Source organism: Homo sapiens, chromosome X (genome assembly GCF_000001405.40).
Source record: "Homo sapiens chromosome X, GRCh38.p14 Primary Assembly".
Taxonomy (NCBI): Eukaryota; Metazoa; Chordata; class Mammalia; order Primates; family Hominidae; genus Homo; species Homo sapiens.
In genome coordinates this window covers 76,987,738-77,015,052 of record NC_000023.11, presented here as the reverse complement: position 1 = coordinate 77,015,052, position 27,315 = coordinate 76,987,738, and the positions used below count along the sequence as shown (strand labels likewise).

General features: G+C 40.6%; 1 long non-coding RNA gene and 1 other non-coding gene across 8 annotated transcripts in view; both read left to right on the top strand.

The window, feature by feature from the left end:
• The first annotated feature begins 520 nt into the window (after positions 1–520).
• MIR325HG (MIR325 host gene) overlaps positions 521–27,315 on the top strand; it is a 356,735-nt gene continuing 329,940 nt past the window's right edge. For 4 of the 7 annotated variants that reach the window (NR_110404.2, NR_110400.2, NR_110405.2 and 1 more), the window contains exon 1: positions 521–826. This is a non-coding gene — a long non-coding RNA (MIR325 host gene). Of the gene's footprint in view, positions 827–7,672; positions 7,778–27,315 lie in introns of all 7 variants that reach the window. The other 3 variants (NR_110406.2, NR_110401.2, NR_110402.2) reach the window with 1 other exon arrangement.
• MIR325 (microRNA 325) lies at positions 9,552–9,649 on the top strand. Its single transcript, NR_029905.1, has one exon. It is a non-coding gene; the product is annotated as a microRNA 325 (primary transcript).

The following is a 27,315-nucleotide window of genomic DNA, read 5'->3' as shown; positions in this document are numbered from 1 at the left end:
ATTAAATATAAAAGCAGGATTTGATTCTGTCTTACAGAACACCATATTCTTGTTTACTTCTCCTATAAAGAATTTATGTTTGCTTTAAGAAATTTCAGCTTCTTTTTGCTCCCCTCTCTTTCACAGTGGTTTAGTCCTGCTACTTAGAACAGCATCCCTTAGTCATCAATCCTCCACAGGGGTCTGACTCTGTCTTACACACTACTAGACCCTTTACGATCTCACTCTTCCTCTTCTTTTCCTTCCCTCTCCCAGAGTGGTTTGATGGCTCCTTATCGACAAGCATCCCCATTCAGCTCCATATGCATCTCAGTGGTTTGATCCTGTCTGGCGAGCATCAGCATCTTTCCTCCTCCTGTCTCACACCAGTGATTTGATCCTGCGTTATTGAGCATCAGTTTATTTTAGTCCTTCCCCCGGGGTCCACAGTAGTTTGATCCTACCTCTCGGACTATTAGGTCCTTTCTTATCCCCCCTCCAGCACCACCACCACAAATGGTATGATCCTTAGCATCAGGTCCTTTTTGTCCCCTCCTTGCTGGTCTTCTAAGCAGATTGAAGCAGCTTCATCTCATTCCTGGTTCATCCTGATTCCCTCAGTGGCTTGCTCCTGCATTAGTAATGTAAAACTGGCCCAAAAGGGTTTAAAATTGTCAGAAGTTGATCTTGATCAGTTCAAATATTTTTTGACAAAGAAAATCAGTTCTGGTCAGTTCAAATCTATTTTGACCAGTTTAAACCAATTCTGCAGAACTCGAGCCTGTGGTCGGTAAACCCAGGAAGATGGCTGAAGACTATGCTGATTCAAGCCAAAGCAAGGAATCAGGTACTTAACAGAAGTTGATACTCAGCTGAGAACCAGGATAGAAAACAGATCAAATAAGAAGACAGGAAAATACAGGGGCCAGGGTTTGTTGAGGGGAGATTCAAAAGAGGCTAGTTGCTAGTTGCACCCAAAGTTGGGCTTTTTTTTTTTTTGTGTGAGATATGAGAGGCCATTTTGAGGAGGTAATGCAGAGTTTTGGGCTCTGCCTTGGTTTGTCTGGGAAGCAGTATGTGACCTCACAGCATCCAGTAATTTCATCTGGCTGGAGCTGAGACTAGGTTGTATGTGGCCCCAGTGATTCCTGGCTCTGCATGCCAGCTCCTGAAGGCATTCTTTGTGTCTGGTCTCACTTCAGGCCAAAGTTAACGGAATACCAAACCGTGAATGAAAACTTTTCCATCTTTTTAACTGTAGACGGTCATAATGCTGTGTAGCTGTTTAGGGATGCTATTTAGGGTAGAAGGAGGGATTGGTAAATCTTGAAGAAAAGAGCTAATTATAATAGGTAAGGCAGGAAGTGAATGAGTCAGCTAATTAGAATTGAGTTGAGGAGTATACCTTGCGATGTTTTAGAGAGCTGTGTAAGAGAAAATGGTAGGCTTAGAACAGTATCTAATCTCTCATGTGCAAGACTGGCTACCTAGTTCCTTGTCGTTTGTGGGCTGAGGTAGAAATTGGCCTGCGTTATCTGGATTTCTCCCATGTGGTTGCCTTTCTGTCCTTTGTTGGGACTGCAATGTGAAGGGTAGGGGCTGACAAACATGGAGAATGAAGAATGAATTTTCATAGATTGCAGCATTTCTAATTTGTGCACAATCTCTGCAGTGAGACACTGGGCCAGATGCTTTGATAACGACTGACATAATGCTGCAAGATTGAAGGTGGGGTTGGAGCTCTGTTTGGTGCAATATATGTCAGCATCTTTTCTGCAGATGGATGAGGCTCTATGGCTGTATACCTGAAAGGTTAAAAAGAAAGGTTCTTCAGCATGGCATAGAAACTTGGTTGCCTGGAAAGGAAACTTACTCTTTTGTGAGATAACTTGGCTTAGGAACTTGTGAGTTGAAAGATGTCTTTTAGGAAGATGGCTTCAGTTAGCCACTGCCTGTTTCTTGACAGGGAGGATGTCAGGCATTTTAATCAAGGCAGTTGAATGGCACTTCGAAATGCTGAGGTAGAAAACAGAGCAGATGATTTGGAGTCAGAGTAGAGAGACTTTGACTCCTAGTTCTACTATTTGATATGTGGACTTTGAGCAAATTAACCTCACAGAGACTTGCTTTCCTTACCTGTAAAATAAAGTTAATATTATCTGTCCTAAAAGATAAGAAGCCTAGCGTTTCATGCCTTGTGGTGCAAAATAGCTGTTATTTAACTTTTTTTGATCAAACTAGATTGTGTGACAGAGATAATTATTGTATACGTGTGGAGGAATAATACATAATTAAGTTTGATGAAGATAATTAATTTTTAATTTTCCAGCAGTGTTTCCCTCAAATGAAGCTACTTAACTGTTCTGATAAACAAAGGAGAAAGTGCTCATTGAAGTATTTATTACTATTATTATTATTTTTTAATTTTATTATTATTATAACACCGCATGTTCTCACTCATAGGTGGGAATTGAACAATGAGAACACATGGACACAGGAAGGGGAACATCACACACTGGGGATCATTGAAGTATTTTATAAACCACAAAGCACAATATAGATGTGGGAAATTTTTGTTTTTATAATAATATGTCGATTACTATTAACGTGTCACTTAGAAAAGCCATAGCATACAATGTTTTCCAATGTTACAGACTTATAGATTTCTCTGGTTCCAGATTCAGTTCTTGTCCTACTTCAGCTTCCACTTTTGGCCACCAGAAGTCCTGAGATATGACATGCAAACCACAGTGACCCAAGGTGGGGGTTGGGAGATAGGGATATCATGATATGAGTGTGAACAGAGAGCTATGGGTATGAACAGGGTGGAGTATCACAATCTGTCCTGCAGCCATAGACATCTTGGAATTATCTTATTGCAAGGCAAATCTGGATTACCTTACCTGGATTCTGTCACCATTACTGAAAACAGCAGGATCAGGTAACGTTGCAACAGGAAGGGAAATGATGTGGGCCTTCAAAAATGTGGAGGTCTTGATTCTGCCATTCATAGTTGGGGCGGTAGGGGGTGAATGGGAGTCAGACAATACAGTAGAGCCTCAGCTTGAAAAAATTAAATTTTAATATATTTGTGGCTATAACAGCCCCTCAGGGGCTGTGTCCTGTACTCAGATTTGTGGGCTGGGAAACGTGGCCTTTTTGGATATGGTCTTTTAACGAATAGTTGCAGGTAGGTAATGACTATAGTTTACTTACGTTGCAGAAAGGAACATGACAAAAATGTTTATTTTTGTGACACCCTGGTGAACAAGATGGAGGAAACATAAGCTAGAACATTATTCCTTTAGTTGGAGTCTGAAAGGTTTTTTTTAAGTACTACTTATATTGAGCACTTATTACATACCAGGCATTGTGCTAAGTACTTTATATGTATTAGTCATTTAGTCCTCATAACAGCCCTAGGAGTTGTATATTATTAGCTCCAACACACAGATGAAGAAACCATTTACAAAAGTTGCTAATTATTTATTCTATGTTTCCCTGGGGTAGGAATTCTTAAAAAGGGCAAGAGATGAGGGCACATTCTCTGAGAGATTTATCAGAGTCACTTGGATAAAGGTTTCTCCAAGCCACACAGGCTTTTCCCCTAATTTTAGTTTTCCTCTAAGGAGTCCTGCCCCTCCTTGGGTATTGCTGGTGTTTTGTGAGCTATTGTGATTAATGTAAATCGATGGTGGAAAGGTCTATCAGGTATACTGAGGTAGGAGAAAATTGTGCTTCACTGTTGCAAAGAGAAGTCCTTGGTGGTGAGCTGTAGGGCTCTGTACCTGACTTTGTCTTGGTTTCAACATTTTAATTAATGGCTTGGATGGAGATGCAAGAACAGTATACTCATTGAGTGTTAAGAGAGAACTGTAAAAGGGAGGGTAAATATATACGATGGGTGATAGAACCAGGAATCCAAGAATGTACTAAATTGCAAAGATGGTCCAAAAATAACAAAATAAATTTGATAAGAAAAAATGTGGTATCTTGCACCAGTTTCATAAAACAAATTAAAAATTAAAAAAATAGCAACTCTACAGGATGGGTCTATGTTTAATATGGCTGCCGAAAAAGTTAACGGAAATTGAGGCTGCATTAATAGTAGTATAGTATCTAGAATGCAGGAGGTGATTATTTCCTTTGTTGCTGAGTTTGTAGAACCATACCTCAAGTATTTTGCTCAGATATGGCAGTTATCTTTTAAAAAGGAACACAGACAAAATAGAGATTAAGAAGAGAAGCCTTGAGGGTGGAGTGGGGGCAGGGTTACTGTCTTCCAGTTTCTACAGGGTTGTCATGAGAAAGAGAATTTTATTTGTAAAGTTTGACTCCAAGAGACAGAATTAAGATTATTGGGTGGAAGTTACAACAGAGCTGATTGAAGATGAAATGGGCTGTGTTAAAAGGGACTGAGTTCCCTGTCACAGGAAGCATTTAAGCAGATGCTTGCTGACTACATGTTATGACTTTAAGTTTGCTATAAGAACTCAAATGCAGCCTGAATTGCTACAGTTAAGTAAATTAAGAATCACCATGAGTGGCATTTCTTCAGATTTTTTTTTTTTTTTGATCTTGCTCCATTGTCCAGGCTGGAGTGCAGTGGTGGCGTAATTATAGCTCAGTGCAGCCTTGAACTCCTGGGCTCGAGCTATCATCCTGCCTCAGCCTCCTGAGTAGCTGGGACTACAGGCACATGCCACCACACCTGGCTAAATGTTCTTTGGTTGATACGGGGGGCGATGATCAAAAAATGTATAGATTAGACCTTGATAATAACTAGTGAATCCAAGGAAACACTGGCATGGTCCATTGAAGGATGACAATGAAGGAAGAAAACATTTATTAAGTACCTAGTATATGCCTGGTGCTCTTCCACACATTATTTCTTAATTTTTGCAATAATCAGGTGAATTACGTTTTATTAATCTCTCTTTTGCAGATGAGAAAACTAAGGGTCAGAGAGATTAAGTGACATGTCCAAGGTCATGCAGCTAGTAAGTGACTTTGTGGGGCACATATCAGAACCCTCTGTGGGGAAATATGTCATAGAATTTTCACTTTTACCTGATTACTTCTCCAGTTGAATAAAGAGCTGGTATTGCCAGAGGTGAGTCAGGGCTGTGTGGACAAGTGCGTCATGCTGGGCTGGGTGCCTGGAGTAGATGAGAATATCATGAAGATATATGATCAGCCTTTAGTCCAGCGGGTCCTGGAGAATGGTGTTGGAATGCAGCTGAGCTATTACACAGGCTGAATGGCATGAGCATTTATTCATAATGTCTGTACCTTATACAGAACTCTGTCTTCCATAGACTCTCATAATGGCACAGCTGTAAGAGAATGTAGAGATCTTTTTTAAATATCAGGGAAAATGTGATCCAAAGAGTGGAAGGGACTTCTCCAGCTTCTTCCACTTCATAATTTTGCCCCTGATTTTCCAGGGATTTATTTTTTAAAAAGTAATCCAGAAAATTTAGAATTCAAGCTTCTTAGAGCAGGAAGGATCAATTCCCCAGTGAAACTTGTTACTCTGTTTCAGAGCTACAAGATATATATGTAATGTTCTGGGTTTTTTTTCTCCCTAATATTATAAAAGGCAGTATAACAAAAATGGAAAGAACATAAGCTTCAGAGTCAGACAGATTTGGTTTAATTTCTTTACTGGGACCCAGGGGAAATTCTTCAACTTCGTTGAGCCTCAGATTCTTCATTTGTGAAAATAGGAAGAATAGTTTTATTTCAGTCAAGTAGAGTTTGAGGTTCCTGTGGAAAATCCACTTGGAGAGATCTAGGGAAGGCTGAAACTCCAGAGAATGATCCCATCTGGATACATAGATTTGAGAATCAATAGCCAAGGAGGAATTATATAAAACCATGAGCATAAATTACATAATAGTTGTACATATTTATGGGGTACATGTGATGTTTTTATACAAGCATATGATATATAATGATCAAATCAGGGTAATTAGGGAATCCATATCCTCAATAATTTATTATTTATTTGTGTTAGGAACATTCCAATTTCACTGTTTTAGTTATTTTGAAATATACAATAAATTATTGTTAACCATAGGCACCCTATTGTGCTACTGAACACTAGCTCTTATTCCTTCTATCTAACTATATCTTTGTATCCATTAACCAACCCATCTCTATCCCCTGACTTCCTACTACTCTTTCCAGCCTCTGGTAACTGTCATTCTACTCTGTATCTCCATGAGTTCTTTTTTTTAGCTTCCACATATGAGTGAGAACATGTAATATTTGTGTTTTTGTGTGGCTTAAATAAGGTGTCTTTAAACAGAAACACACATAAACAAAGATTGTGTTTTGATGGGTTGATGGAAATGTGACCAGAGGCTCACAGGAGCCTAACTATGTATTTCTCCAGGAGCAGTGGTTCAGTATTCATTAATTCAGTGTTTGTAGTGGCTTTATAAAACATAGCAACTGTGAATAATAAGAATCAACTGCATATAATAATTATAATCTAACATGTTGATTATATCAAAATACATATAACTAGTAAGAAAAACAGAAGATCTCAATAAAAATGGGCAAAGGAGATGTATAAGTAATTAACAGAACAGGAAAAACAAACCATGTATATTAACATTATTGAAAAACTCTTGTCCGGGCGTGGCGTCTCATGCCTGTAATCCCAGCACTTTGGGAGGCCGAGGCGGGCGGATCTCCTGAGGTCAGAGGTTCCAGACCACCCTGGCCAACATGGTGAAAACCTGCCTCTACTAAAAATAAAAAAAATTAACTGGACATGGTGGTGGGCTCCTGTAATCCCAGCTCCTCAGAAGGCTGAGGCAGGAGAATAGCTTGGACCCAGGAGGCGGGGGTTGCAGTGAGCCGAGATCGTGCCATTGCACTCCAGCCTGGGTGACAGAGTGAGACTCCATCTCAAAAAAAAAAAAAAAAAAAAAAAAAAGGAAAAGGAAAAGAAAAACTAATAATGGCATGTCATTTTTGTCACCTATCAAATTAGAAAAAAATAGAAAAGATAATAGTCTATGCTGGTGAGAGTGCAATGAGGTGGTCATTCTTGTACAGTGCCAGTGGATTAGATTGGTACATCATTTTTGGAAGTAGTTTGATGTTATCTATCAACATGTCTAAACATAAAGATTCAGATAAATAGAGATTCAGGTAAAGATTTACATACCTTCAAATAACATTATTTGTAAAAACAAAAATGGGAATAAAAAGAAAAATGCCCCAAAATAGGGGAACAAATATATTACGGATGGAAACAAGATGAGAGACTTACAAAACTATTAAAAAATATTTTAAAGAAAAGTTAATGACATGGGAAAATGTTCATGATTTAATTGAAATGAATCAGATTATGATATAGATAATAAAAATTAAAATATGCCAAAATCATTTATACAAAAGTAAATTAACCTGAAAATAAATAAGTTTATTCAAGATTAAAGTATATTTTATTTTATATGTCCTTAATTGTTAACCAGAAACTAGGGGGTCTAGGGGATACCCTTACCTGCTGTTTGGTAACCATCACTTTAACCTTACTCAATTAGGCATATTTTAGGAGGTGGGACAATGGGTTTTGTCAGAACGAGGATTTGGGTGTCACTCTCTCACTCCCCATCCCATGTCTTCCTTTGTCTCCCCTCTCCTCCCTCCCTTCCCTCCACATTTTGTAATGCAGAGAAAGGTAAGATTCATTAAGACTTGGGTGAAAAGAGTTAACATGGGCAGAATCCTGGAAGACTTCAAGAAGAAGGTGGAATTCAAACGGAGTCCTGAAGAATAGGTAAGGTTTTTCTAGGGGAAAAATATAGGTTAGATCATAACCTTTTTAGTTTCTACATGTCAATGATACTACCCTAGACTATAAAGGCAATGCCTTTGAGAGGTACTAAGAGTGGTTTTCCTTTGGGACAGCTGTATTTGGAATTTTCTAGTGCCTTTCCTCAGAGTTCAGGTAAGTTTTCATATTCTGAAGCTCTGATCTTGGGATCAATATAGGATAGATATAGAAAAATTTCAAGAATTCGACGTTGTTTTGATAAACCAAGTATGTAATATGGGGAGTGGATTAAGGTTGATGGGGTGGTGGGGTGGTATAGTGGCTGGGAGGTATTGGGGAGAAGAGAAAGGAACAAATATTTGTTGAGCCTGCTAATTGTTACCATGCTTATTTAATTTTACCAAATGTACCTAACAACCATATGAAGAAGGCAGTTACTTCAATTTTGAAGATAAGAAGTCACGAGGGCCTAATGGAGGCTGGGGTAGTGAAAGTGGTGAGGAGTAGATGTATGTGACTTATATTTTCAAAACAAAATTGAAAATAGCAGTGGCAGGTGTGGAGGGAATGTTAATTGGCTTAATTGTGATGTACAGAAAACCATTTTAGAAAACTAAACTCTGGTTAGTAACAGATTTCCTGCCAATGTTCAGAGGCTTTGAGCCTGGGTCATCTTGGGAGGATGGAAAGGCTATTAATGGAGGTGGGGACTTAAGAGGAAGAGTATGTTGGAGGGAAGATGATATTCCCTAATTCTTCAAAGCCTCTTCTGTGCTTGTCAGTTCACACTGCCCTTCTTATTGTGCTCTACCATATTGTATAGGCACTCCATATATGTAAATATTTACAAATGCATCTTTGGGAGGATACATAAGAAACTTTTAACAGTGATTGCCTCTAGAAAAGGGAACTTGGTGGGATTGGGAAGAACCCTTACTTTCATTTTGCATTTTTTGAACTATGTATCATATACATGTGTTACCTACTTAAAAAAAAGAATATTATAAAGCAGATGAAAAATAAAATAGAAAAACCTAATACCTCTCCAATACATTTCCATATTCTGCACTTTAATCACAAAATTCTTCTGCATCCTGTGCCCTTACTTGTCCATGAAACCCTTCCCTGACCATTCTAATTCATATCCTAGCCTTTCTGACTATTTGGTGTGGGAATGAATGGGAAGAAGGAAATGGGACTAGAAAGTTCAGACTATTCTTGCAGAAGATTAGTGGAGAAAGGAAGGATATTAGGTAATGTGAAACCTTGGAGTCCAGGGAGGTTTTCTAATTTAGGTCTTTCCTTATTTGTGACTAGGAGAGATATTTGCACCTGTCTAATAGGTGTAGGGGGAAAGACTGGAGAGAGGGGAGAGAAGTTGAAGACAAAGGAAATGGAGAGGTTGTAAACGGGTTTACCAAAACCTATCAGCCATGTTGGGATAGAGTTGCAAATGAATGTATTTCTAGAGAACTGCTCAGAAATGGTTCTGAAAGCCTGAAAAGCTCTCTGTAAGGAACCAGATTTCAGAACAGGCCTCTCTCTGGCCATTTCCTACAGCAACTCTTCACAATTAGTCCTTTTGGGTCTGCTGAGTTCTATCAAGCAATCATTCAACAAATGTTGAATGACCATTATGAGTAAAGTCACGGCACGGGACAGGGATTGTATGGCTTAATTAAATATACTGACTTGACATTCACAAAGGAAAGAAAGGTTCTGTGAGAAAAAGTTGCTTAAATATAGGTTTTGAGATGGATTCAAGTCCACAGAACCAATACAGTGCTTGGTTCCTAGTAGGTGTCCAGTAAGTGTTTGTGACATAATTTGTTTATTGAGGACCTCCTATCAATCAAGCACTGTGCTAGGCTCTGGGACTACATAGATAAGTTATTCAACATCCTACATTTTGAGGTACTTAGGCCTAGTGGTGGTTACAGTAGAGTGATTAATATTTTGACAAAGGTACAAACGGGTAGGAGAGGATCTACCCCAGAAACAGAACCAGATTTCAGTGTGTTGAGGGGTGAAAAGGAAAAGAGTAAGTGAAGATGGTGAATGTAAATGGTTCTTTAAAAGTTTTTAAACTGTTCTTAAACTGCTTTTAAAAAGCTTGGTTAGAAAGAAAAGGAGAGACAGGGCAACAAACAGAGAAAGAGATAAGGTGGAGGGACTGTTTCTTAAATGATGGGAGGTTTCAGCATATTGTTGTGCAGAGGACAAAGAACCATTGGAGAGGGAAGGAGTGAAGATTCGAAGTTAGGACAGTGATTGATGAAAAGAGATGTCTGAATATATAGGAAGAGATGGAAGAGAAAGTTGGCCAGGAACTCCTGAAGAAGTTATCATGTGGTGCCAATAACTCTCCTGAAGAAGGAAACCATAAATTTTCAGGTGGTACCAGGTCAAAATGTGGTTAAAACTAGAGAAAAGAAAATGGTTGCAATAATAGATTATAGAGCCTAGGCAAGTCAGAAAAAATAATTAGGATGGACTGATAAACTGACAGAAACCAGGAGCCCATAGAATAGGAGTAGTATGGGCAAGGAAGTAAAAGCCCTCACTGGAAAATAAAAGTAGCTGAAGAGTAGGGTATACGAATTTAAGATTTCAGAAGTAGAGCTGTTCTGGATGATGAAAAGACCCTGCATGGGCCATGGATGTGGATAAATGAAGTGTAGAAAAAGTCACTGGAATTGAGTCAAGCAAGTGAGGCTTTATGGTTAATCCCCATGGAAGCCCCTCTGTGATGGTACAAAGATTTGTACCAGAAGTCGAATGTTCAATTTATGTTTGTGAGAAACCAGGAAGTAAAGAGATGTCAGTGATGAGACTCTTTGGTAGGGAAATGCTAGTTGTCTTAGTTGTCATTCACCCACCCTCCCAAATAAAGAGACAGGTGAGAGAAGGTGTGCTGCATATCTGTGAACTTGGCTTCCCCTTCTCTAAGAGCTTCAAAGGGAATGAGATGGCAGACTCAGGCTGCTTAGGGAGTTTAATCTGTGAATGTGTAGTTCAGCCTGTCCTAGTGGTACCAGCTGCATGCAGATGTAGCCAGCAAGATAAGGCAGTTCAATGTCTGCGGCTAGCTGGAAACATGTAACTCCTCAGAAGTGGTGAGAGGTGTAGGAATGAAGAGGAACTGAATCACACAAAGGAGATGAAAACAACACGTCTGGGCTGAGTAATTCTGCAGAAAGTGTGGTGAGCTGGCGGTCTGTCCATGTATTTCCATGGTCTTTACAAGAATAGTAGTGAGTAATAACATATGAAACAGTTTATCACTGATGCTTTGAGATGAACATCAGGCAGAGAAGCCAAGTTTTCCATGTGTCTAGGAGAGCTTTTGAGGTACAATTTTGGCTACCAACTGGCTCCACAGTTTAGATCTTGGTGGGGAAAATATTCTAGAAGAAGAGTAGTGACAGCAACTCCCATCTTTGGAGGTACCTGTGAAGAAAACCCAGAGAAAATAGGGAATAGCTTCAGGAAGCCCTAAGCTGTCCTCTTTCACAATAGCAACAATAATAGTGATGATGACAACAGCTGAAACTTATGTAGCACTTACTCTATGCCAGGCACTGTTTTAAGCACTTTATTCATATTATTTCTTTCAGTGCTTAAAATAATCCTGTGAGGTAGGTACTAATATCCTAATTTTCCTAAGAGAACGATACTTTGTTACAATTCCCAGGATCCCCTCCTACTTACCCCTACCTACTATGGCTTGGCTTCTGAGTATGTAACATAGAGGTAGAGGCCAGTGGCCTGGCTGAATCTTTGAAGATGATTTTGGTCACATGGTAAAGACCATGCCACGGGAATCTGGTGTTGTTCTGAAGTAAACCTGACAGACAGAGAAGCCTTCACAAAGGTTTTATAAGATCCAAAATTATAATTATGGTGTGTGTGTGTTTCTAAATGTAGATTAGATTATCTCTGGTATCACAAAGTAACACAAGGAACTTTTAACAGTGTTTTCTTCTAGCAAAGTTAACTGACTTTCAAACTGTATATAGCCTTTTGAATATGTTAGAATTGTTTACCATGTGCATGCATTTCCCTTTCAAAATCTAAAACAAAACAAAAACCTCCAAACAAATGTTAAAAAAGAATAAATTTCCAAATAATCTTTTGAAAACTCCATTTCCTCATCTTCCCATTTTCCCCTGTCTCACTCCTATACTTATGACAGGACTTTGGATAGAGGAAAGAAACTTAGCAGGAGCGAAGCTTGCTGCTGCAATTTTTGCCATGTTTTCTGGGAAGTCATATTGCATCCTGTAACATTCCAAATAAGCCCATAACAAACCTCAAAAGTGTACATTCTCAATTTTATATTCCAAATAGTATAACATCGTGAATATGTCCATAACAAACCTCAATAGTGTACATTCTATACTTTATATTCCAAATAGAGAAACAGAGAGACTTTTGCAGCCATTTCTATCTATTTTTATTTGAATGGAGGTTATAACCAGGTTTGAATTCTAGTGAGTGTTTGCTTAACTGAAACATTCCATTCCAATTAGCCCGAGCGACTTAAAGCAAAGAAAACCATCAAGTAGAAGTCTGGCCTTTCAAAAGAATTTTCTGTACCCTTGGAATTCATTGCAAATTCTGTTTTAATATTAGACACACTTATGCTACATGCACTGGCTTAGTTTTGCCTGTGCTCCTTCATCTTTGCCAATACCATCTTGCATCTTCCCTTCAAGGTCATGTGCCAGTCCTCCTAACAGTGAAATTATTTTCCTGGTTCAACTTTCCCACACAGTCCAGAGCCTCTCTCTATTCCCAGCTCAAACTCTTCCTCTCATTTCTGTTTGTCTGAGGGAACCGTTTATTATAGTTAAGTTTCAAGGTGAATTAAAAAATCTCTAAGGTCACCTCCTGCTCTATAATCTCTGGTTCACTTGAAGGAACTATTTCACATTCCAAAGGCAAACCTCCCTCTATTGGTTCTCCTCTACCTTCCTTATGATTTATTGTCAAGGGTTGAATATACTTCTTTTTCCAGGGACAGCCCTGGGAATTCACACACCTTAAACCAAAGAAATGGATTGTTAACATTAACAGTGAAATGTCTAGTCTCAAAGAGGCTGATGTTCAGGTGGAAGCCTTCATAGTGTCCCTCACATCCATCCACCCTTGTAAACAGCTGTTCTTCCCCTGCCCTAAGTAAGGAATAGATCAAAAAAACAAAACTCCATCCTTCTTGTGGAGCCTCCCTTGATATTCCTCCACATCTCAATATTATCTTTGCACTTTTGAGGTTATCTGCTAAAGCAGGCTTGCTTGGTCTGGTTACTGTGTAGATTACAGCCACATTGTTAAAAAGGCCTCCAACACCTGGGCCATTTGAAGCCCTTGTGGGTTCTTCTGGCTCCAGGTCCCTGGTTGGGGATTTCATCTTATGTATTTGTACTGCCCCAAAACTAGTTGTTGCTGGCCTCAGAATCAGATTGAGAATTCTGGGAAAATTAAATCCTTATGCTTTGCCCTAAGGCAAAACACTCCCTTTTATTATCTTAAGTGCCCGATTTCCATTAATCGCTTTATTTTTCTGGGTGAAAATTAATACCATATTTAAGGAAGATAAAGTCACATGGTCTCCAGTACCAATATCAAACATTGAGTGCTACATAGTGGGAAGTAAGAGACAGGAAGAATAGCTCTGCTCTCTAAGGCTAAGGTCCTGGACCTGTAGCACTATTCCAACTTAGGCTAGGTTAGAAGAGATCCCTTGCTTGGAAAGTTGGAACACACGCACGCATGCACGTACACCCTTCCCCGACCCCCGCCCCCCACATAAAATTGTCTCAGGCTTCTCTTCTAAACAGATGACATGACAACAAAAGGGAGAAGTAGAGGGCTCTGGTAGGATCTGGAATGATGTCTTCTCCTCTTCTTAGTCCTAAGGGTGATCCAGCTATGTCCTAGCTCATAAAGTCTGCTTGGCCTTGGTGTCAACCTTAATTGACAGCAATGGCAAAAGCCCACAGATGACTGAGTCACATAATCAGAAAGATGCTCTAGAGGTTATTTAATTGACCCCATTCTTCTTTCCTCTGCCCTTAGCTCCCATGAAGGATTATACCTAAAACAAGCTCTTACCTGCAGAACTTGTCAGGAAAGGCTGTAGGATTATTATTTTCATTGCCACTCAGGGAAAGTGGAGTCCAAAAAAAGCAAAGTAATTGGCAACTCAGCTTTACTTGCCAGCCTGGCTGCACATGGGATTAGGTTTGGAATGTCAACTTTCCAGAAAACATACATGGACAGAGAGAAAACAAGAAGAGAGTGAGGACAGAATGGGGCCTTCAAATAAGCCATCCAAGTTGTGAAGCTTCTGGTGTCTCCCTGCTGCTTTCTATCTATAAGAAAATTTCACTTCTGACAAAGTCTCCCTCCCCAAGGTCTCTAGGCCCCCAATCACTTCTTACTCATGGTTCTCAGTAGATCTCTGAGCTTTGAGGCAAAAAGCTTGTGGATGAGTGCACACACATATGTCCACTTTGTAGGACACTTCTTCAGTCATAACCAGAGAAAGTAATTTTTAAAAAAAAATTCTTCTAAAAATTGGGATACATATGCAGAATGTGCAGGTTTATTAAATAGGTATATGTATGCCACGGTGGTTTGCTGCACCTATTGACCCATCCTCTAAGATCCCTCCCCTCGCCCCCCACCTCCTAACAGGCCTTGGTGTGTGTTATTCCCCTCTCTGTGACCATGTGTCCTCCATGTTCAACTCCCATTTATGAGTGAGAACATGCATTATTTGGTTTTCTTTTCCTGTGTTAGTTTGCTAAGGATGATGGCTTCCAGCAAGATCCATGTTCCTGCAAAGGGCATGATCTCATTCTTTTTTATGGCTGCATAGTATTCCATGGTGTGTATGTACCACATTTTCTTTATCCATTCTAACATTGATGTGCATTTGGGTTGGTTCCATGTCTTTGCTATTGTAAATAGTGCTGCAATATACATACATGTCTATGTGTCTTTATAGTAGAATGATTTACATTCCTTTGGGTATATGCCCAGTAATGGGATTGCTGGGTCAAATAATATTTCTGGTTCTAGATCCTTGAGGAATTGCCCCACTGTCTTCCACAATAGTTGAACTAATTTACATTCCCACCAACAGTGTAAAAGTGTTCCTTTTTCTCCACAGCCTCGCCAGCATCTCGTTTCCTAACTTTTTAATAATCGCCATTCTAACTAGCTGAGATGGTATATCATTGTGATTTTGATTTGCATTTCTCTGATGATCAGTGATGTTAAGCTTTTTTGTTCATGTTTTTCGGCTGTGATGCTAGTTTCCTTTGCTGTGCAGAAGCTCTTTAATTAGATCCCATTTGTCCCATTTTTCAATTTTGACTTTTGTTGCCATTGCTTTTGGCATGCCCTGTATGGTATTGCCTAGATTTTCTTCTAGGGTTTTTATGGTTTTGGGTTTTACATTTAAGTCTTTAATTCATCTTGAGTTAATTTTTCTATAAGGTGTAAGGAAGGGGTCCAGTTTCTGTTTTCTGAATATGGCTAGCCAGTTTTCCCAGCACCATTTACTGAATAGGAGATTCTTTCCTCATTGCTTGTTTTTGTCATGTTTGTCAAAGATCAGATGGCTTTAGAAGTGTGGTGTTATTTCTGGGATCTCTGTTCTGTTCCATTGGTCTATATGTCTGTTTTGGTACCAGTACCATGCTGTTTTGGTTACTGTAGACTTATAGTATAGTTTGAAGTCAGGTAGTGTGATGCCTCCAGCTTTGTTTTTTTGTTCTTCTTAGGATTGTCTTGGCTCTATGGGGACTTCTTAGATTCCGTATGAAATTTAAGGGAGATCTGGCAAGAAGGCCGAATAGGACAACTCCAGTCTGCATCTCCCAGCGAGACCAATGCAGAAGGAGGTGATTTCTGTATCTCCAACTGAGGTACCCGGTTCATCTCATTGGAACTGGTTAGGTAGTGGGTGCAGTCCACACAGGGTAAGCAGAAGTAGGGTGGGGCATTATTTCACCTGGGAAATTCAAGGGTCCATGGACCTCACTCCCCAAGCCAAGGGAAGTGTGAGGGACTGTGCTGTCTGGTTGAGATACTATACTTTTCCCATGGTTTTTGCAACCCACAGACCAGAAGATCCCCTCATGTGCCTACACCACCAGGGCCCTGGGTTTCAAGCACAAAACTGGGTGACTGTTTGGGCAGACACTGAGCTAGCTGCAGGAGTTTTTTTTGTTTTGTTTTTCCCCCAGTGGCACTTGGAACCCCAGTGAGACAGAACCATTCACTCCCCTGGAAAGGGGGCTGAAACCAGGGAGCCAAGTGGTCTTGCTCAGGAGGTCCCACTCCCACAGAGCCTAGCAAGCTAAGAACCACTGACTTGAAATTCTCTCTGCCAGCACAGCAGTCTGAACTTGACCTGGGGTAATCACTCTTAGTGGAGGGAGGGGCGTCCACCATTACTGAGGCTTGAGTAGGCGATTATCCCCCAACAGTGTTAAGAAGGCTGGGAAGTTCGGACCAGGTGGATCTCACCACAGTGCAGCAAAGGGGCCATGGACAGACTGCCTCTCTAGAGTCCTCCTCACTGGGCAAGGCATCTCTGAAAGAAAGGCAACAGCCCCAGTCAGGGGCTTATAGATAAAACTCCCATCTCCCTGGGACAGAGTAACTAGGGGAAGGTGCGGCTGTGGGCACAGCTTCAGCAGACTTAAACATTCCTGCCTGCGGGCTCTGAGGAGAACAGTGGATCTCTCAGTGCAACGCATGACCTCTGCTAAGGGACATACTCCCTCCTCAAGTGGATCCCTGACCCCTGTGCCTCCTGACTGGAAGACATCTCCCAGCAAGAGTTGACAGACACCTCATACAGAAGAGCTCTGGCTGGCATTGGGCAGGCGCTTCTCTGGGAGGAAGCTTCTAGAAGAAAGAGGAGGCAGTAATCTTTGCTGTTCTGCAGCCCCTGCTGGTGATAGCCAAGCAAACAGGGTCTGGAGTGGACCTCCAGCAAACTCCAGCAGAATAGGGGCCTGACTGTTAGAAGGAAAACTAACAAACAGAAAGCAATAACATCAACATCAACAAAAAGGACCCCCATACAAAAACCCCATCCAAGGAACATTAGCATCAAAGATCAAAGGTAGATAAACTCATGAAGCTGAGGAAAAACCAGCACAAAAATGCTGAAAATTCCCCAAACCAGAATGCCTCTTCTCCTTCAAATGATTGCAACTCCTCTCCAGCAAGGACACAAAACTGGATGGAGAATGAGTTTGATGAATTGACAGAAGTAGGCTTCAGAAGGTGGGTAATAACAAACTCCTCTGAGCTAAAGTAGCATGTTTTAACACAATTCAAGGAAGGTAAGAACCTTGATAAAAAGGTTCTTGTAACCTTTTTGAGAAAAAGTTTCCTGTAGGAACTGCTAGCTAGAATAACCAGTTTAGAGAAGAACATAAATGACCTGATGGAGCTGAAAAACACAGCATGAGAACTTCATGAAGCATACACAAATATCAATAGCTGAATCAATCAAGTGGAAGAAAGGATATCAGAGATTGAAGATCAACTTAACAATTTAAAGTGTGAAGACAAGATTAGAGAAAAAAGAATGAAATGGAATGAACAAAGCCTTCAAGAAATATGAGATGGTGTGAAAAGACCAAACTAACAATTGATTGGTGTACCTGAAAGTGACGGGGAGAATGAAACCAAGTTGGAAAATATACTTCAGGATATTATCCAACAGAAGTTCCCCAACTTAGCAAGACAGGCAAACAGTCAAATTCAGGAAATACAGAGAACACCACTAAGATACTTTTCAAGAATAGCAACCCCAAGACACATAATAGTCAGATTCTCCAAGGTTAAAACAAAGGAAAAAATGTTAAGGGCAGCCAGAGAGAAAGGTCAGATTATCTACAAAGGGAAGCGCAACAGACTAACAGCAGATCTCTCTGCAGAAACCCTACAAGCTAGAAGAGAGTGGGAGCCAATATTCAACATTCTTAAGGAAAAGAATTTTCAACCAAGATTTCATATCCAGCCAAACTAAGCTTCATAATGAGAGGTGACAGCGTGCTGGCAGTCCTCATAGCCCTCACTCACTCTTGGTGCCTCCTCTGCCTGGGCTCCCACTTTGGTGGCACTTGAGGAGCCCTTCAGCCCACCACTGCAGTGTGGGAGCCCCTTTCTGGGCTGGCCAAGGCCAGAGCCAGCTCCCTCAGCTTGCAGGGAGGTGTGAAGGGAGAGGCACGAGTGGGAACTGGGGCTGCGCATGGTGCTTGTGGGCCAGCTGGAATTCTGGGTGGGTGTGGGTTTGGCAGACCCCACACTCAGAGCAGCCCCAGGCAATGAGGGGCTTAGCACCCAGGCCAGCAGCTTCAGAGGGTGTACTGGGTCCCCCAGCAGTGCCAGCCCACTGGAACTGCGCTCGATTTCTTGGCGGGCCTTAGTTGCCTTCCCGCGGGGCAGGGCTCAGGACCTGCAGCCTGCCATGCCTGAGTCTCCCACTCCCTCTGTGGGCTCCTGTGTGGCCTGAGCCTCCCCGATGAGCACCACCCCCTGCTCCACAGCACCCAGTCCCATCCACAACCCAAGGTCTGAGGAGTGCGGGTGCATGGCACAAGACTGGCAGGCAGTTCCACCTGCAGCCCCAGTGCGGGATCCACTGGGTGAAGCCAGCTGGGCTCCTGAGTCTGGTGGGGACATGGAGAACCTTTATGTCTAGCTCAGGGATTGTAAATACACCAATCAGCACTCTGTATCTAGCTCAAGGTTTGTAAACACACCAATCAGCACCCTGTGTCTAGCTCAGGGTTTGTGAAAGCACCAATTGACACTCTGTATCTAGCTACTCTGGTGATGACATGGAGAACACTTATGTCTAGCTCAGGGATTGTAAATACACCAATCGGCACTCTGTATCTAGCTCAAGGTTTGTAAACACACCAATCAGCACCCTGTGACTAGCTCAGGGTTTGTGAATGCACCGATCGACACTCTGTATCTAGCTACTCTGGTGGGGCCTTGGAGAACCTTTTTGTCGACACTCTGTATCTAGCTAATCTGGTGGGGAGGTGGAGAACCTTTGTGTCAAGCTCAGGGATTGTAAATGCACCAATCAGCACCCTGTCAAAACAGACCACTCGGCTCTACCAATCAGCAGGATGTGGGTGGGGCCAGATAAGAGAATAAAAGCAGGCTGCCCGAGCCAGCAGTGGCAACCTGCTCGGGTCCCCTTCCACACTGTGGAAGCTTTGTTCTTTCTCTGTTTGCAATAAATCTTGCTGCTACTCAATCTTTGGGCCCACACTGCCTTTATGAGCTGTAACACTCACTGCGAAGGTCTGCAACTTCACTCCTAAAGCCAGTGAGACCACGAACCCACCGGGAGGAAAGAACAGCTCCAGATGCACCACCTTAAGAGCTGTAACACTCACCGCGAAGGTCTGCAGCTTCACTCCTGAGCCGGTGAGACCACGAACCCCACCAGAAGGAAGAAACTCCGAACGCATCCGAACATCAGAAGGAACAAACTCCAGACATGCCGCCTTTAAGAACTGTAACACTCACCGCGACGGTCCACGGCTTCATACTTGAAGTCAGTGAGACCAAGAACCCACCAATTCCGGACACAATAAGAGAAGGAGAAATAAAATCCTCTACAGACAATCAAACGCTGAGGGATTTTGTCACCATCAGGCCTGCCTTACAAGAGCTCCTGAAGGAAGCACTAAATATGGAAAGAAAAAACCAGTGCCAGCAACTGCAAAAACACACCAAAATAAAAAGACCAATGACACTATGAAGAGACTACATCAACTAATATGCAAAATAACCTGTTATTATCATGAAGACAGGAGAAAATTCACGCATAACAATATTAGCCTTAAATGTAAATGAGCTAAATGCCCCAATTAAAAGATACAGACTGGCAAATTGGATAAAGAGTCAAGACCCATCGGTGTACTGTATTCAGGAGACCAATCTCACGTACATAGGCTCAAAAGAAAGGGATTGAAGAATATTTACCGAGCAAATGGAAAGCAGAAAAAAGCAGGGGTTGCAATCCTAATCTCTGACAAAACAGATTTTAAACCAACAAAGATAAAAGAAGACAAAGAAGGGCATTACATGATGGTTAAAGAATCAATGCAATAAGAAGAGCTAACTATTCTACATATATATGCACCCAATACAGGAGCACCCAGATTCATAAAAAAAGTTCTTGGAGACCTACAAAGAGATTTAGATTCCCACACAATAATTGTTGGAGACTGTAACACTCTACTGTCAATATTAGACAGATCAACGAAACAGAAAATTAGCAAAGATATTCAGGTCTTTAACTCAGCTCTGGACCAAGCGGACCTAATAGAGATCTACAGAACTTGCCACCCCAAATCAACAGAATATACATTCTTCTAAGCACCACATCACACTTATTCTAAAATTGACCACATAATTGGAAGTAAAATGCTCCTCAGCAAATGCAAAAGAACGGAAATCATAACAAACAGTTTCTGAGACCACAGTGCAATCAAATTAGAACTCAAGATTAAGAAACTCACTCAAAACTGCACAACTACATGGAAATTGAACAACGTGCTCCTGAATGACTACTCAGTAACTAACGAAATTAAAACAGAAATAAAGAACTTCTTTGAAACCAATGAGAACCAAGAGACAACATGCCAGAATCTCTGGGACACAGCTAAAGCAGTGTTAAGAAGGAAATTTGTAGCACTTCATGCTCTCAACAGAAAGCTAGAAAAATCTAAATTCATCAACCTAGCAACACAATGAAAAGAACTAGAGATTCAAGAGCAACCAAATTCAAAAGGTAGCAGAAAATGGAAGCTATTTATGACAAACACATAGCCAATATCATACTGAGTGGGCAAAACCTGGAAGCATTCCCTGTGAAATCTGGCACAAGACAATGATGCCCTCTCTCACCATTCCTGTTCAACATAGTATTGGAAGTACTGTCCAGGGCAATTAGGCAAGATAAAGAAATAAAGCATATTGAAATAGAAAGAGAGAAGTCAAATTATCTCTGTTTGCAAATGACATGATTGTATATTTAGGAAAACCCACCATCTCACTCCAAAAACTTCTTAAGCTGATAAGCAACTTCAGCAAAGTCTCAGGATACAAAACCAATGTGCAAAAATCACGAGCATTCCTATACATCAATATTAGACAAACAGAGGGCCAAATCACGAGTGAGCTCCCATTCACAATTGCTACAAAGAGAATAAAGTACGTAGGAATACAACTTATAAAAAAAGTGAAGGACCTGTTCAAAGAAAACTACAAACCACTGCACAAGGAAATAAGAGAGGACACAAACAAATGAAAAAACATTCCATGCTCATGGATAGGAAGAACGGATAATGTGAAAATGGCCATGCCACCCAAAGTAATTTATAGATTCAATGCTATTCCCATGAATCTACTGTTGACTTTCTTCACACAATTAGAAAAACTATTTTAAATTTCATATGGAACCAAAAAAAGAGCCCGTATAGCCAAGACAATTCTAAGCAAAATTAACAAAGCTGGAGGCATCATGCTACCTGATTTCAAACAATACTACCAGACTACAATAACCAAAAAGGCATGGTACTGGCACTAATTAGATATAAAGACTAATGGAGCAGAGCAGAGGCCTCAGAAATAACACCACACATCTACAACCATTTGATATTTGACAAACCTGACAAAAACAAGCAATGGGGAAAGGGTTACCTATTTAATAAATGATGCTGGGAAAATTGGCTAGCCATATGCAGAAACAGAAACTGGCCCCTTCCTTACACATTATACAAAAATGAACTCAAGATGGATTAAAGACTTAAACATAAAACCTAGAGCCATAAAAACCCTGGAAGAAAACCTAGGCAATACCATTCAGGACATAGGCATGAGAAAAGACTTCATGATTAAAACTTCAAAAGCAATTGCAACAAAAGCCAAAATTTACAAATGGGATTTAATTAAACTGAAGAGCTTCTGCACAGCAAAAGAAACTATCGTCAGAGTCAATTGGCAACTTACAGAATGGGAGAATATTTTTGCAATCCATCTGACAATGGTGTACTATCCAGAATCTACAAGGAACTTCAACAAATGTACAAGAAAAAGACAACCTCATCAAAAAGTGGGTGAAGGGTATGAACAGACACTTCTCAAAAGAAGGCATTTATGCGGCCAGTAAACGTATGAAAAAAGCTCATCATTACTGATCATTAGAGAAATGCAAATCAAAACCACAATTAGATACCATCTCATGCCTATTAGAATGGCGATCATTACAAAGTCAGGAAACAATGGATGCTGGAGAAAATTTGGAGAAATAGGAACGCTTTTACTCTGTTGGTGAAAGTGTAAATTAGTTTAACCATTGTGGTAGACAGTGTGGTGATTCCTTAAGGATCTAGAACCAGAAATACCATTTGACCCAGCAATCTCTTTACTGGGTACCTACTCAATAAATTATAAATCATTCTACTATAAAGACACATACATATGTATGTTTACTGCAGCACTATTTACAATAGCAAAGACTTGGAACCAACCCAAATGACCATCGATGATAGACTGGATAAAGAAAATTTGTCACATATACACCATGGAATACTATACAGTCATAAAAAGAATGAGTTCATGTCCTTTGCAGGGACATGGATGAAGCTGGAAACCATCATTCTCAGCAAACTAACACAGGGACAGAAAATCAAACACTGCCTGTTCTCACTCATAAGTGAGAGTGGAACAAAGAGAACAAATGGACACAAGGAGTTGAACATCACACACCAGGGCCTGTCAGGGGGTGGGGGCCAAGGGGAGGGAGAGCATTAGGACAAATAACTAATGCATACGGAGCTTAAAACCTAGATGACAGGTTGATGGGTGTAGCAAACCACCATGGCACATGTATACCTATGTAACAAACCTGTACGTTCTGCATATGTATCCCAGAACTTAAAATTAAAAAAATAGAAATTTAAAATAGTCTTTTCTAATTCTGTGAAGAATGTCAATGGTAGTTTGATGGGAATAGCATTTAATCTGTAAATTACTTTGGGCAGTATGGTCAAAATATTGCATGAGGATGGAATATTTTTCCATTCGTTTGTGTCCTCTCTTATTTCCTTGAGTGGTGGTTTGTAGTTCTCCTTGAAGAGGCCCTTCACATCCCTTGTTAGCTGTGTTCCTAAGTATTTTAGTCTCTTTGTAGCTATTGTGAATTGGAGTTCATTCATGATTTGGCTCTCTCCTTGTCTATTGGTGGTGTAAAGGAATTCTTGTGATTTTTGCACATTGGTTTTGTATCCTGAGACTTTGCTGAAGTTGCTTATCAGTTCAATAAGTTTTGGACTGAGATGATGGGGTTTTCTAAATATAAAATAATGTCATCTGCAAACAGAGACAACTTGAATTCCTCTGTTCCTATTTGAATACCTTTATTTCTTTCTCTTGCCTGACTGCCCCGGCAAGAACTTCCAATCCTATATTGAATATGAGTATTGAGAGAAGACATCATTGTCTTGTACCGGTTTTCAAAAGGAATGCGTCCAGCTTTTATCCATTCAATGTGATATTGGCTGTGTGTTTGTCATAAATAGCTCTTATTATTTTGAGATATGTTTCATTAATACTTAGTTCATTGAGTTTTTTTTTTTTTAGATGGAGTCTCGTTCTGTTGCCCAGGCTGGAGTGCAGTGGTGTGATCTTGGCTCACTGCAAGCTCCGCCTCCTGGGTTCCTGCCATTCTCCTGCCTCAGCCTCCCAAGTAGCTGGGACTAGAGGCACCCGCCACCACGCCTGGCTAATTTTTTGTATTTTTTAGTAGAGATCGGGTTTCACCATGTTAGCCAAGATGGTCTTGATCTCCTGACCTCGTGATCCACCTGCCTCGGCTTCCCAAAGTGCTGGGATTACAGGCGTGAGCCACCACCCCCAGCCGAGAATTTTTAATATGAAGGAATGTTGAATTTGATTGAAGGCCCTTTTCTGCACCTATAGAGATAATCATGTGGTTTTTGTCTTTGGTTCTGTTTATGTGATGGATTACGTTTGATTTCAATATGTTGAACCATCCTTTTATCCCAGGAATGAAGCCAATTTGATCCTGATGGATAGGTTTTTTGATGTGCTGCTGGATTCAGTTTGCCAGTATTTTACTGAGGATTTCACATTGATGTTCATCAAGGATATTGGCCTGAAGTTTTCTTTTTTTGTTGTGTCTCTTCCCGGTTTTGTTATCAGGATGATGGTGGCTTCATAAAATGAATTAAGGAGCCTCTCCTTTTCAATTTTTTTGGGGTAGTTTCAGATGGAATGGTACCAGCTCCTCTTTGTATTTCTGGTAGAATTCAGATGTGAATCTGTCTGGTTCTGGGCTTTTTTTGGTTGGTAGGCTACTAATTACTGCCTGAATTTCAGAATTGTTATTCGTCTATGAAAGGATTCTACTTTTTCCTGGTTTAGTCTTGGTAGGTCGTATGCATCCAGGAATTTATCCATTTCTTCTGGATTTTCCATTTTATTTGTTTAGAGGTGTTTATAGTATTCTCAGATGGTCGTTTGTATTTCTGTGGGGTCAGTGATGATATCTGCTTTATCATTTTTTATTGTCTCTGTTTGATTCTTCTCTCTTCTTCTTCTTTATTAGTCTATCTAGTGATCTATTTTGTTAATTTTTCAAAAAACCAGCACCTAGATCCATTGATTTTTGAAGGGTTTTTCATGTCTTTATCTCCTTCAGTTCTTCTATGATCTTAGTTATTTCTTGTCTTCTGCTAGCTTTTGGATTAGTTTGCCCTTGCCTCTCTAGCTCTTTTATTTGTGATGTTACAGTGTCGATTTGAGATCTTCATTCTGATGTGGGCATTTAGTGCTATAAATTTTCCTCTTAACACTGCTTTAGCTGTGTCCCAGAGATTCTGGTAGGTTGTCTCTTTGTTCTCATTGGTTTCAAATAACTTCTTGATTTCTGCCTTAATTTCGTTATTTACCCAGGAGCCATTCAGGAGCAAGTTGTTCAATTTCCATTAAATTGTGTGGTTTTGAGTGAGTTTCTTAATCCCAAGTTCTAATTTGATTGTACTGTGGTCCGAGAGATTGTTTGCTATTATTTCAGTTCTTTTGCATTTGCTAAGGAACATTTTACTTCCAGTTATGTGTTGGATTTTATAATAAGTGCCATGTGGCACTGAGAAAAATGTATATTCTGTCGATTTGGGGTAGAGAGTTCTGTAAACGTCTTCTAGTTCCAGTTGATCCAGAGCTGAGTTCAAGTCCTGAATGTACTTGTTAATTTTCTGTCTTGTTGATCTGTCCAACACTGAGAGTGGGGTGTTAACATCTCTGGCTATTATTGTGTGGGAGTCTAAGTCTCTTTGTAGGCCTCCAAGAACTTGTTTTATGAGTCTGGGTGCACCTTTTTTGGGTGCATATATATTTAGAATAATTAGCTCTTCTTGCTGAATTGTTCCCTTTACCATTATGTAATTCTTTTTTTTCTCTTTTTTGTTCTTTGTTGGTTTAAAGTCTGTTTTATCAGAGACTAGGTTTGCAACCCCTGCTTTTTCATGTTTCCATTTGCTTGGTAAATTTTCCTCCTTCTCTTTATTTTGAGCCTGTGTGTGTCTTTGTATGTGAGATGGGTCTCCTGAGTTCAGCACACCAATGGGTCTTGACTCCTTATCCAAATTGCCAGTCTGTGTTTTTTAATTGGGGCATTTATCCCATTTATTTAAGGTTAGTACTATTATGTGTGAATTTTTTCCTGTCATCATGATGCTATTTATTTATTTTGCACACTAGTTGATGCAATTTCTTCATAGTGTCATTGGTCGTTATATTTTGGTGTGTTTTTGCAGGGGCTGTATTGGTTTTTCCTCTCCATATTTAGGGGCTCTTGCAGGGTAGGCCTGGTTGTAACAAAATTCCTCAGTCTTTGCTTGTCTGGAAAGCATTTTATTTATCCTTTACCTATGAAGCTTAGTTTGGCTGGATATAAACTTCTGGGTTGAAAATTCTTTTCTTTAAGAATGTTGAATATTGGCCCCCAATCTCTTCTGGATTGTAGAGTTTCTGCTGAGAAGTCCACTGTTAATCTAATGGGCTTCCCTTTGTAGGTAACCTGGCCTTTCTGTCTGGCTACCCTTAACAGTTTTTCCTTCATTTTGGCCTTAGAAAATCTGATGATTATGTGTCTCGGGGTTGAACTTCTCATGGAGTATCTTAATGGTGTTCTCTATGTTTCCTGAATTTGTATGTTGGCCTGTCTGGCTAGGCTGGGGAAGATATCCTGGACAATATCCTGAAGTATGTCTTCCAGCTTGTTTCCACTGTCCCCATCTCTTTCTGGTACTCTGATCAATCATAGGTCTGGTCGTTTTATGAATTTCCATATCTTTTGGAGGCTTTGTTCATTCCTTTTCATTCTTTTTTCTCTATTCTTGTCTGCATGTCTTATTTCAGTAAGGTGGTCTTCAAACTCTGATATCCTTTCTTCCACTTGGTCAGTTCAGCTGTTGATACTTGTGTATGCTTCACAAAGTTCTTGTGCTATGTTTTTCAGCCCCATAAGGTCATTTATATTCCTCTCTAAACTGGTTATTCTAGTTAGCAATTCCTTTAACCTTTTATCAAGGTTCTTAGCTTATTTGCATTGGGTTAGAACTTGCTCCTTTAGGTCAGTGTAATTTTTTATTGCTCATCTTCTGAAGCCTACTTCTGCCAATTTGTCCATCTGATTCTCCATCCAGTTCTGCACCCTTGATGGAAAGACACTGTGATAATTTGGAGAGAAGAGACACTTTGTTCTTTTGGATTTTCAGCATTTTTTCGTTGATTATTTCTCATCTTCCTGAGTTTTTTTTTATTTTTGGTCTTTGAGGCCGATGCTTGGATGAGGTTTTTGTTGGGGCCTTTTTTGCTGTTGTTGATGATGCTGTTACTGTAGCTTTCTGCTTGTTTCTTTTTTCTTGCAATAGTCAAGTCCCTCTTCTATAGGGCTGCTGCAGTTTGCTGGGGCTTCACTTCAGGCCCTATTCATCTGATTTGCTCCTGAGCCTGGAGATGTCACTCAAGGAGGCTGGAGAACAGCAAAGATGGTTGCCTGCTCCTTCTTCTGGGACCTCTGACCTCGAGGGGCACCAACCTTATGCCAGTAGGATTGCTCATGTGTAGAGTGTCTACAACCTCTGTTGGAAGATCTCAGCCAGTTTGATGGCATGGGGAGCAGGACCCATTTAACAAAGCACTTTGTCTCTTGGTGGAGAGTGTGCACTTCACTGGGGAGTAACCCATTCGTCTGGGCTTCCTGGATTCCTCAGAACTACCAGGAGGAGAGGCCGTCTGCTGGTCTGCAGAGACTGCAGCCACCTCTCCCACTAGGGGATCAGGCCTAGGGAGATCCAAATTCTGTCCCTGAGCCTCTGGCTGGAGTTATTAGAGATACTGCAGGGAAGCCCCACCCAATGAGGAAGGATGAGTCAGATTTAGGCCTGAAG